Source organism: Homo sapiens, chromosome 1, assembly GCF_000001405.40.
Source record: "Homo sapiens chromosome 1, GRCh38.p14 Primary Assembly".
Classification (NCBI taxonomy): domain Eukaryota; kingdom Metazoa; phylum Chordata; class Mammalia; order Primates; family Hominidae; genus Homo; species Homo sapiens.
Window position 1 is genome coordinate 22,038,545 of NC_000001.11, and position 12,667 is coordinate 22,051,211.

At 47.2% G+C, this 12,667-nt stretch overlaps 2 annotated features.

Annotated features, from left to right (window-relative positions):
- Positions 1,463-1,532: an enhancer, noted in NCBI's record as "active region_347". NCBI's record gives its function as "activates an Ori minimal core promoter by ATAC-STARR-seq in GM12878 lymphoblastoid cells {active_cell/tissue: GM12878}" and the evidence as "EXISTENCE:reporter gene assay evidence [ECO:0000049][PMID:35858748]".
- Positions 6,589-6,758: an enhancer, noted in NCBI's record as "experimental_5374 CRE fragment used in MPRA reporter constructs". NCBI's record gives its function as "activates a minimal promoter by MPRAs in K562 erythroleukemia cells, with activity observed for the non-introgressed 1:22371711 variant allele {active_cell/tissue: K562}" and the evidence as "EXISTENCE:reporter gene assay evidence [ECO:0000049][PMID:34662402]".

Genomic DNA, 12,667 nt, shown 5'->3' on the forward strand with positions numbered 1-12,667 from the left:
GTGATCCTCCCACCTCAGCCTCCCAAGTAGCTGGGAGTACAGATGTGCGCCATCATGCCTGGCTAATTTTTTGTATTTTTAGTAGAGAAGGAGTTTCACCATGTTGCCCAGGCTGGTCTCAGACTCCTAGGCTCAAGTGACCTGCCTACCTCGGCCTCCCAAACTGTTCATTCTTTATGATGCAGATAGACACGGTCACCTTCATGAAGCCTTCTTTGATTTCTGCTTTGAACTAGCACTTGAAGCCCCCCTGTGAGCTCCTACAACACCTTAGCTTTAGTTCTTGGTACTTGCTCATGCAGCAAATAGATGTTACGTGCCATGCCCCATTCTAAGCATCACACTGCAGTGCAGCATCTTGTTTGTGTCCCAGGCAGATTGTGAGCTCCATGAAGAGGGAGACTTTCTATGTTCTTTGCATTGAACACAGGGCCTGCACCTGGGGGATCCTCAAGGAGCACTTTGACTTTTGTGGGAGACATGGGAGACATGGTTGTTCCTTTTTTTTTTTTTTTTTTTTTGAGACAGAATCTCGCTCTGTCACCCAGGCTGGAGTGCAGTGGCACGATCTCGGCTCACTGCAAGCTCCGCCTCCCAGGTTCATGCCATTCTTCTGCCTCAGCCTCCCGAGTAGCTGGGACTACAGGCACTCGCCACCACGCCTGGCTAATTTTTTGTGTTTTTATTAGAGACGGAGTTTCACCGTGTTAGCCAGGATGGTCTCGATCTCCTGACCTCGTGATTCACCCACCTCGGCCTCCCAAAGTGCTGGGATTACAGGTGTGAGCCAATGCGCCTGGCTTTTTTTTTTTTTTTTTTTTTTTTTTTTTTTTAGAGACAGAGGCTCTCTCTGTTGTGAGGCTGGAGTACAATGGCGCGATCTTGGCTCACTGCAACCTTCGCTTCCTGGGTTCAAGCGATTTTCCTGCCTCAGCCTCCCAAGTAGCTGGGACTACAGGTACGTGCCACCACGCCCAGCTAATTTTTGTATTTTTAGTAGAGATGGGGTTTCACCATGTTGGCCAGGGTGGTCTCGATCTCTTGAGCTCGTGATCCGCCCACCTTGGCCTCCCAAAGTGCTGGGATTACCAGTGTGAGCCACTGTGCCTGGCCACGGTTGCTACTTCTTAAGATATTTCCTTTTAGCAAACACAAGTATCCACGGTTCATCAGTGACCACTAGGTGCTATGTTGTGGAGGAAACAAGGAGTGAGACTAGTAGTCTCCTGTAGAAGAAGTAGGGATGGAGATAAGAACAAAACAAAACAAAAACAAAAACTACAAAGGGAAGGCTTCACTTCTCTGTTCTGCATCTGACCTTGCAGTGAGATGAGGTTAACTGCCCTTAGTTGGCTCTGCAAAGCGCAGGGGCCTCTTTAGGTGCCTAGCAACAACTTGACTACCCAGAATGGTGATTTTGAAGCTGGGTGTGGTCTCCTGGGCAGGAAGCCACCAACACCGCCAGAGCAGCCAGGGCCTCCCCTTCACTTCCTCTGAGCCAAAACTCCGCCTCCAATTGGGGCCAATACTTATTGCTTTGAGCCCTGTCTTAGAAACACAAATGGAAGGTTTCTAGCAACAATAACTTCTACCACTTAGATGTGTGATGTCAGACAAGTCATGCCACCTTTCTGAGCTTCAGCTCCTATACCTGTCTTGGTCCTGGCTTATTCTCAGGCAGGGTTACCCTAGCACAGCAGCCCAGGTCCACAAATACTCAGTAAATGCTACTGTATCTGAATCTGAATCTGCTTAATTAGGGGAAGATTCAGTGAGTGACCTTTTCTCAGCTGTCCCTTGGATCTTGTTCTTTTGACCCTCTCTCTGCAGGCAGCTCCATCTTATGTCAAATTTCTATACGTCAAATCCTGTTCTTGGCCAGGCATGGTGACTCACGCCTGTAATCCCAACAGTTTGGGAGGCTGAGGCAAGAGGATCGCTTGAGCCCAGGAGTTCAAGGATAGCTTGGGCAACATAGCGAGATTCCATTTCTACAAAAAATAATAAAATTAGCCAGGTATGGTGGTGCACACCTTTAGTCCCAGCTACTCAGCAGGGTGAGGTGGGCGGATTCCTTCAGCCCAGGAGGTGGAGGCTTCAGTGAGCTGAGATTGTGCCACTGCACTCCAGCCTCGGTGACAGTCAGATCCTGAGTCAAAAGAAAATAAATACATAAATAAAGGCTGGGCACAGTGGTTCATGCTTCTAATCCCAGCACTTTGGGAGGCCGAGGGGGGTGGATCACCTGAGGTAACGAGTTCAAGACCAGCCTGGCCAACATGATGAACCCCTGCCTTTATTAAAAATAAAAAAAATTAGCCGGACATGGTGGCGCGTGCCTGTAATCCCAGCTTCCCTTGAACCCGGGAAGCAGAGATTGCAGTGAGCCCAGATCGCTCACTCGGGAGGCTGAGACAGGAGAATTGCTTGAACCTGGGAGGCGGAGGTTGCAGTGAGTCAAGATTGTGCCACTGCACTCCAGCCTGGGTGACAGAATGAGACTCCGTCTCCAAAAAAATAAAAAATAGGCCGGGTGCAGTGGCTCACGCCTGTAATCCCAGCACTTTGGGAGGCTGAGATGGGCAGATTACAAGGTCAGGAGTTCAAGACCAGCCTGGCCAACATGATGAAACCCCATCTCTACTAAAAATACAAAAATTAGCTGGGCATGGTGGCGTGTGCCTGTAATCCCTGCTACTTGGGAGGCTAAGGCAGGAGAATTGCTTGACCAGGACTCAGGAGGCAGAGGTTGCAGTGAACTGAGATCGCGCCACTGCACTCCAGCCTGGGCTACAGAGTGAGACTCCATATCAAAAAATAAAAAAAAAAACCATAAGAATATATAATAAATTTCACATATATATATAACATGCATCCTAAAAAGTGTACAAATCTTAATTGTATGGCTTAATGAATTTGTACGAAGTGGGCATACCCTTATTACCACCTTCCAGATCAAAATACAGAATATTACAGGCACCTCAGAAGCCTTCCTCAGGCCCTCTCCCAATTATTAACCTCCAAAATATTATTGCCCTAGTGTTGTCTGTTTCTGAACCAAAGGGAGTCATTAGTGTCTGTCTTCTTATGTTGAACACTTTGTCTGTGAGATCATCCATCCCCTGAGCATCCTGCTTTTCCATGCCTGTGTACCTGAACACGCCTGTTCTTTCTGCCAGGACACAGCATGCTCTATCCTGGCCCAGCCAGTCTGGGCAGCTCCTCCAGATGCAGATCAGACCTTGCTCCTTTGGGAAAACTTCCATGATCAGCTCTGAGTTTGAATCCCAGCCCTTCCACCTACCAGCTGCATGAATTTGTGCAAACATTACTAACCTCTCCATGCCTGACTTTTGCTGATAATTTATATATTTCAGAGCTGTTGTGAATTTCAAGTGAGATAATAACATACTAAATACTTAGAGCAGTGCCTGGAGTGTAGGAAGTGCTTAACAAATGTTAGCTAGAACTATTGTGGATAGTCTGCTTTTCCAATTCCTCTACACCTTATATATACCCTGTCCTAGTGCTTGTTTTAATTACTATTATTATTATTATTATTTTGAGATGGAGTCTCACTCTGTCACCCAGGCTGGAGTGCAGTGGCGCAATCTCGGCCCACTGCAACCTCCGCCTCCCAGATTCAAGTGATTCTCCTGCCTCAGCCTCCTGAGTAGCTGGGACTATACAGGCGCGTACCACCACACCTGGCTAAATTTTTTTGTATTTTTAGGAGAGACGGTGTTTCACTATGTTGGCCAGGGTGGTCTCGAACCCCTTACCTCAGGTGATCTGCCTGCCTCAGCCTCCCAAAGTGCTGAGATCACAGGTGTGAGCCAGCGCACCCACCCAGCCTCGTTTTAATTATTGTTTGTCCCACTGGGAGTCCTTAATTCCTTGAGTAGGGATTGGTCTTATGGTCTTATTGTATTTCTTTTTTTTTTTTTTTTTTTGAGACGGAGTCTTGCTCTGTCGCCCAGGCTGGAGTGCAGTGGTGCGATCTCGGCTCACTGCAAGCTCCGCCTCCTGGGTTCACGCCATTCTCCTGTCTCAGCCTCCACAGCAGCTGGGACTACAGGCGCACGCTGCCACGCCCTGCTAATTTTTTTGTATTTTTAGTAGAGACGGGGTTTCACTGTGTTAGCCAGGATGGTCTCGATCTCCTGACCTTGTGATCTGCCAGCCTAGGCCTCCCAAAGTGCTAGAATTACAGGAGTGAGCCACTGCGCCCCGCCTATTGTATTTCTTTAACAGATTTCTATTGAGTATGCACTATATTCTAGCACTGAGGGTACAGTGATGAAGCAAGTCCTTGGATTTACTGGGTTTTACTTGGCTTTAATGGGAGGAGACAGTAAGAAAAATACAGAACTGAGACCATTTCAGATAGAGATAAGCACTATGAGGGAAGCAAAGCTGCGTGTGATAGCAGGTGGGGGGTGCTAGTTAAGCTGAGAAGGAAGAGGTCTTCTTGAAGAGGTGGTATTGGAGCAAATTCCTGTGGGGTGGAAGGGAGCAGGTGTGTACAGATAACCAGGGGGAACAGCAAGAGCAAAGCCTCTGAGCTAGGCAGAATAAATTCAGTGTGTCCGAGGAACAGCAACCAGGGCGGCATGGCCGGAGCCCAGTGAGTGAGTACGTGGTCCTGATGAGATTGGAGAGATGGACAAGGGCCTACACGATGGGGACAGAGTTGCTCAGTTATTTCTGGACTTTACTCTTTCCCCTATCCTTTCTCATCCACCCTTGTTCAGTGACCCAGATTATCTTTGCCAGAGATGTGTAAGCAAGATGAAGGAGGCAAGCCTGGGCCAGTTAGAGAAAAGGCAAGAAGGAAACAGGTTTGGTGAGTTCCTCCCCTTTCTCTGCCTCCAGGAAGGGTTCAGGTCCCTAGACAAGCATAATGATGTGGGCATAAGTGGAGGAGGGAGGCTGAACAGCTGGAGGGGCTGCAGAGGGAGCAGATCCCTTAGTGGAGGCAGCCCCAGCAGCTGTAACCCCTTGTGGTGCAGCAGGTAAACCAGGAACACGGCTGGAGTCCTGGCAGTAGGGTTGGGGGGCTCCTGGAGAGGTCTGGGCCATGACCAGCCAGGGGAATCAGGAAAGAGGGGTGGGCTGCGGTCTCAGTGATATGAATTATACAACACATCAACCTTTTGGCAACAACAGAGATACTTTAATATATTTATTTTCAACTTTAATTAATTTTTATTTATTTTTTTGAGACGGTGGTCTCACTCTGTTGCCCAGGCTCAAGTGCAGTGGTGTGATCTTGGCTCACTGCAGCCTTGAACTCCTGGCTCAAATGATCCTCCCACCTCCTGAGTAATTAGCACTACAGACGCACACCACCATTCCCGGCTAATTTTTGTATTTTTTTTGTAGAGACGAGGGTCTTGCTATGTTGCCTAGGCTTTAACTTTTTTTTTTTTGAGACAGAGTCTCACTCTGTTGCCCAGGCTGGAGTGCAGTGGCATGATCTCCTCTCACTGCAACCTCCATCTCCTGGGTTCAAGTGATTCTCCTGCCTCAGCCTCCCAAGTAGCTGGGATTACAGGCACCCACCACCACACCTGCTAGTTTTTGTATTTTTAGTAGAAATGGGATTTCACCATGTTGGCCAGGCTTGAACTCCTGACCTCAAGTGATCTGCCCGCCTCAGCCTCCCAAAGTGCTAGGATTACAGCCTTGAGCCACTGTGTCTGGCCCTAACTTTTATTATTTATTTATTTATTTATTTATTTCGAGACAGAGTCTTGCTCTGTCACCCAGGCTGGAGTGCAATGACACCATCTTGGCTCACTGCGACCTCCGCCTCCCGGGTTCAAGCCATTCTCCTGCCTCAGCCTTTCAAGTAGCTGGGACTACAGGCATGCATCACCATGCCTGGCTAATTTTTGTATTTTTAGTAGAGACGGGCCCTGTTGGCCAGGCTGGTCTTGAACTCCTGACCTCAAGTGATCCACCTGCCTCAGCCGCCCAGAGTGCTAGGATTACAGGCATGAACCACTGCACCTGGCCTTTTATTTTTTAATGAACTATTACACATACGAAAAGCAAATAAAACATGTACCATAGAATAAATAATGATAAGGCAAACATCCATGTAATCATCACCCAGGTCATGAAATAGAACACTGCCAACACTGCCCCCCCAGTACCCCCATCCCTTCCAGATTCTAACCCCCTTTAGAGGCGGCCACTAGCTGAATTTGTATGATAATCACTTCCTTGGTTTTCTTCGCAGTTTTTGCCTATGAATCACACAGAAAGTCTTAAATTAGAATTTTCTCACACAAATCCCAAGCCTGAAGACCTTGGAGGAGAGCCTCTTTAATGTAGATCTTCTTCTTCTTTAGTAAATCTTGGCAGGCCCTTGGGGAGATGGTGGTGGATTTGCAGTCTTGCATTTGGCAGAGAATGCAGTATGAGGCTTCTCTCATTCAGCCAAAGTGTTCTAGGGATCTGAAGAGGACTGTGAGGGGCACAGCAATGCATCCAAAACCAAGCTTGCCCCTGGGAGCTTGCAGTAGGGTGGAAAAAGTGTGGGTAAACATGATAGCCCAGACAGAGGGCCTGGAGAGGGGCTCTGATAAGGGCTCTGGGGGTTTAGAAGAGCCAGCAATCCCTTTTGGCAGTGGGAAGCAGAGCTGGCTTTGTGTAAGAGGTGGTGGTGTATGCATTCATGCATCATTTATCAAACATTTTTGAGGGATGGCAGTGTGCCAGGAAATTAGGTAAAAAAAAATAAAATGAATAAGATCTCTGCCTGCTTATGGCCTAATAGTTTAGCATAAATAGATACAAATAATTCCAATATGAGATGCTTTAAATACAAAGTGATATAAGACTGATTGGTTGCCTGGGGTTGTCGGGAGATTTCAAAACTAAGGCCTAGGCCAGTCCTTGAAGGAGAGAAGAGTGGAGTTTGGCAGACAGAGAAGGGAGCCACTGAATCCACAGAGGCACAGAGGTGGGAAAGGACACAAGGTGGATGTTGGCAAAATGTACAGTTCATGGTGGGAAGAAGAGTGGACTTGACATGTAGGATGGATAAGCAGGAAAGGTGTTTTAGGGAAGAGGATCAGCATGAGCAGTGGCAGAGAGGTGAGAAGTCATGGTTCCTGCCTGTATGATACTAAGTATTATACAGTCTAGCTGTAGCATAGGTGTGTAGTGGAAGGTGTGATGATTAATTTTATATGTCAACTTGACTGGGCCATGGGGTGCCCAGATATTTGGTCAAACATTATTTTCGGTGTGACTGCAAACTTGTTTCTGGATGAGATTAAGATCTGAATCAGGAGACTGAGCAAAACAAATTGCCCTCTCATCCAATCAGTTGAAGGCCAACATAAAACAAAAAGGCTGACCCTCCCTTGACTGAGGGAGAATTTTTCTTGCCTTCAGACTTCAAAGAGAAACACTGGCTCTTCCTCTGTCTTGAGCCTGCTGGCCTTTGGACTGGAACTGAAACATCAGCTCTCCTGGTTCTCAGGCCTTCAGGCTTGGACTGGAGCTACACCATTGGCTCTCCTGGGTCTCCAGCTCAGTGACTCACCCTGTGTATCTTGGGACTTGTCCTCCATAGTCGTGTGAGTGAGCCAATTATAATAAATCTCTTATAATAAATCTTTCTCTCTATATATATATATGTATATTTTATATATAGAGATTATTATATATAATTTATATATTATGTATGATTATATAATATATAATTTATATATTATATATAGACCATTCTATATGTATATATAACCACTCTCTATATAGAGAATGGTTTTATTTTTATTATTATTTCGAGATGGAGTCTCCCTCTGTCGCCCAGGCTGGAGTGCAGTTGTTCGATCTCGGCTCACTGCAACCTCCACCTCCTGGGCTCAAATGATTCTCCTGCCTCAGCCTCCCAAGTAGCTGAGATTACAAGCACGCATCACTACACACAGCTAATTTTGTATTTTTAGTAGATATGAGGTTTCACCATGTTGGCCAGGCTGGTCTCGAACTCCTGACCTCAAGTGTTCCACCCGCCTTGGCCTCCCAGAGTGCTGGGATTACAGGTGTGAGGCACTGCACATGGCCAGAATGGTTTTATATGTAATATATAAATAATATATATTACCATTCTATTGGTTCTGTTTCTCTGGAGAACTATGACTAATACAAAAAGAAAGGGAAATCACTTTGGAAAGGCAAAGATCATAGAGGACATAGAATGTCTGGGTAAAGTCTTAAATTTTTTTTTTTTTTTTTGAGATGGAGTCTCTCTCTGTCACCCAGGCACTGCAACCTCCACCTCCTAGATTGAAGCGATTCTCCTGCCTCAGCCTCCTGAGTAGCTGGGATTACATGCATGCACCAACATACCCAGCCAATTTTTGTATTTTTAGTAGAGATGGGGTTTCACCATGTTGGTCAAGCTGGTTTCAAACTCCTGACCTCATGATCTGCCCACCTCGGCCTCCCAAAGTGCTGGGATTACAGGTCTGAGTCACTGTACCCAACCAAAGGTCTTAAATTTTATTCTGAAGACAAAGGAGAAAACACTGAAGGTTTCTGAGTAAGGGAGTGACCTAATCAGAGCGATGATATAGGAAGATAAATGCTGTGCTTTGTCAAATGAGTTAAAGTAGAGATTCTTTTTTTTTTTTTTTTTTTTTGAGACGGAGTCTTGCTCTGTGGCCAGGCTGGAGTGCAGTGGTGCGATCTCTGCTCACTGAAACCTCCGCCTTCCGGGTTCAAGCGATTCCCCTGCCTCAGCCTCCTGAGTAGCTAGGACTACAGGTGAGCGCCACTATACCCAGCTAATTTTTTGTATTTTAGTAGAGACAGGGTTTCACCATGTTGGCCACAATGGTCTTGATCTCCTGACCTCGTGATCCTCCCGCCTTGGCCTCCCAAAGTGCTGGGATTAGAGGCGTGAGCCACCGCACCCAGCTGAGATTCTTTTTATTTATTTTTTTGAGACAGGGTCTTGCTTTGTCACCCAGGCTGGAGTGCAGTGTAGTGCACTGGCATGATCATGGCTCACTGCAGCCTCAACATCGCAGGCTCAAGCGACCCTCACATCTCAGCCTCCCCAAGTAGCTGGGACTACAGGTGCTTGCCACCACACGGTTTTTATATTTCTTGTAGAGATGAGGTCTCAGTATGTTGCCCAGCCTGGTCTCAAACTCCTGGGTTCAAGTGATCCTCCCGCTTCAGCCTCCCAAAGTGTTGGGATTATAGGCATGAGCCACCATGCCTGGACTAAAGCAGAGAGCTTGAAGGGAGCCTCTAGAAATTAGATATGAATTTTGTGGGTATAGGATCTGTGATGCAGAAAAGGTTGAGAACTCCTGGATATACAAGGCTGTAGGGGCCAAAAGCAGACATAGGTGCTTAGACCCTGGAGTAGGTGGGAGCTGGAAGATGATTTTGATGGTGCTGAGTAGCTGGAAATTTGAAAATGGGGGTAGGATGCCGGGCGCGGTGGCTCACGCCTGTAATCCCAGCACTTTGGGAGGCTGAGGCGGGTGGATCGCCTGTAGTCAGGAGTTTGAGACCAGCCTGGCCAACATGGTGAAACCCCATCTCTACTAAAAAATACAAAAATTAGCTGGGCATGGTAGCAGTTGCCTGCAATCCCAGCTACTCGGGAGGCTGAGGCAGGAGAATCACTTGAACCTGGGAGGGGAGGTTGCAGTGAGCTGAGATCGCACCATTGCACTCCAGCCTGGTTGACAGAGTGAGACTCTGTCTCAAAAAAAAAAAAAAAAAAAAAAAAATTGGGGGTGGGAATAGGGGTTGGAAGAGGTATAGATTTGGGAGTTATTACCTAGAGGGTAGGGACAAGTACCTCATGGGCAGACAAGCAGGGCAGGGGTGGCAGTGATTCATCAAGAGTTTGGCAGTCATAAGCAACAGAAACCTACTCAACCTCGTTCAGGCAATAGAGGGAATTTATTGCTAATGTGACTGAAGATTGAAGCAAGACTGGATCTGATGTCTCATGCAATGCCACTGGGACTTGGTTTCATGTCTCCATCTCTCAGTTCTGTTTCCCCCTCTGTCTTGGTCTCATTCTCAGGCAGCATCTCTGCTTGCAGTGGGAAGCTGGCTGCCAGCAGTGCCACGATTACATCCTACTCTCAGCAAACAGAGATTCACTGAACTGAATAGTTGTGACCAAAGTTCCAGAATTAAATCTCATTGGGTCACATGCCTGTTGCTGAAATGGTGTGGCAACAGGGCTCTCTATAATGCTGTGATTGGCCAAGCCTGGGTCACGTGTCCATTCCCGCAACTAGAGATAGTGTCATCTCTAGAGCCACATGGATTGAGAGTTGGGGCAGGGGCTGCTCTAGGAGAAATGGAAGTGCTGTTACCAGAAGGAAGAATGGACACCGGAATGGTAGCCACCGGGAAGGGAGCCGGAGTCCCACAGGCTGTCCCTCCTGTTAACATGAGGCAGCTATAGCAGTGGGGCAGTAGCGGGGAGGCACTAGGAGGCTGGGGGCTGGGCCAGCAGTGAGGGACATGGTAGATTGGGTCAAGTAATAGTAACACCATTGCCACTGCTGTTTGGGGCTGTGAAAAGGTCTAGGAGGGTTCTTCTGACAAAAAACCTGACAACATAAAAGACATAGTGCTAAGTAAGTCCTTGTCCTCAGAATAAAGGCAGGAAAAGCTGAACAGTTGGGTGACACCCCATCAAGATATTGCTGCTACTGGAAAGGGCAGACGTTGTCTGGGGACATTCATGGGATTGTGAGACAGGATGAAGGAAAGGGCACTGCCAGCTGGACTTGTGAAGGGAAGAAACAACCATTTTCCCCTCAAGTTTAAAAAATGAAGCTTATGCATTTTTACAATAGTAATAAATTCACAATAGCCCAAAACAACCCAAATTCCAACAGTAGGAGTCTGGGTAAATATTGCAATGCCCGGAGAGTAAAATGCAGCCTTTACAAATGATGCTTTATTTGACATGGAAAGATGTTCACAATGTAGTTTTTTTGTTTTGTTTTGTTTTTGTATTTTTTGTAGAGATGGGTGGGGGCAGGTCTTGCTATGTTGCCCAGACTGGTCTTGAACTCCTGGGCTCAAGTGATCCACCCGCCTCGGCCTCCCAAAGTGTTAGGATTATAGGTGTGAGCCACATTAGAGGTAGGACTACAGCTGAAGCTTATCTTCCTGTTTTTTTTTTTTAGGTGGGGTTTTGTTCTTGTTGCCCAGGCTAGAGTGCAATGGCGCAATCTCGGCTCACTGCAACCTCTGCCTCCCAGGTTCCAGCGATTCTCCTGTCTCAGCCTCCCGAGTAGCTGCGAATACAAGTGCATGCCACACCCAGCTAATTTTTGTATTTTTAGTAGAGAAAGGGTTTCACCATGTTGGTCAGGCTAGTCTTGAACTCCTGACCTCAAGTGATCCGCCCACCTCGGCCTCCCGGAGTGCTGGAATTACAGGCGTGAGCCACCGCACCTGGCTTTTTTTTTTTTTTTTTTTTGAGACAGAGTTTCACTTTTTTGTCGCCTAGGCTGGAGTGCAATGGCATGATCTCGGGGTCACTGCAACCTCCGCCTCCTGGATTCAAATGATTCTCCTGCCTCAGCCTCCCAAGTAGCTGGGATTACAGGCACCTGCCACCACACCGAGCAAATTTTTGTGTGTGTGTTTTTTAGTACAGATGGGGTTTTACCATGTTGGTCAGGCTGGTCTTCAACTCCTGACCTCAGGTGATCCACCAGCCTCAGCCTCACAAAGTGCTGGGATTACAGATGTGAGCCACTGTGCCTGGCCTGAAGCTTATCTTCTAATTTCTCTATAATAAACCTGCTTGATAGTGTGGTAGTGTCATAGTCAACTAGAGCCAGCCTCCTGAGTGCAAGTCTCAGCTCTGCCACTGCTTGGCATGGCGGCTATGGACAAGTCTCTTAACACCTCTGAGCTTCAGTTCATGTAACCATAAAGTGGGGGTAACAGTTCTTAACTCATAGGGTGGCTGTGAGTATTAAATTAGCTACTACTACCTGCAAAGCTATTAGCCATACCTGCAGTAAACACTAAAAAATGTAGTTCTTATTTTTGGGTAATTAAAAAATCCAAAAGAGGGCTGGGTGCGGTGGCTTACACCTGTAATCGCAGCCCTTTGGGAGGCCAAGGCAGGTGGATCACAAAGTCATGAGTTCAAGACCAGCTTGGCCAATATGGTGAAACCCCGTCTCTACTAAAAATACAAAAATTAGCTGGGCATGGTGGTGGGCACCTGTAGTCTCAGCCACTTGGGAGGCTGAGGCAGGAGAATTGCTTGAACCCGGGAGGCGGAGATTGCAGTGAGCCGAGATCGAACCACTGCATTCCAGCCTGGGTGACAGAGCGAGACTCCGTCTCAAAAAAAAAAAAAAAATCCAAAAGAAAATATGACTATAAGTCAATATACTGGAATTAAGTGTCTTTGTTGGCCAAATAGCTGTGGCAGTAGACAATAAATGAGCTGTTATTAAGATAAGCAATTTTTTTTTATTTTTTTTGAGACAGAGTCTCGCTCTGTTGCCCAGGCTGGAGTGCAGTGGCGCGATCTTGGCTCACTGCAAGCTCCGCCTCCCGGGTTCACGCCATTCTCCTGCCTCAGCCTCTCGAGTAGCTATGACTACAGGAGCTCGCCACCACGCCCGGCTAATTT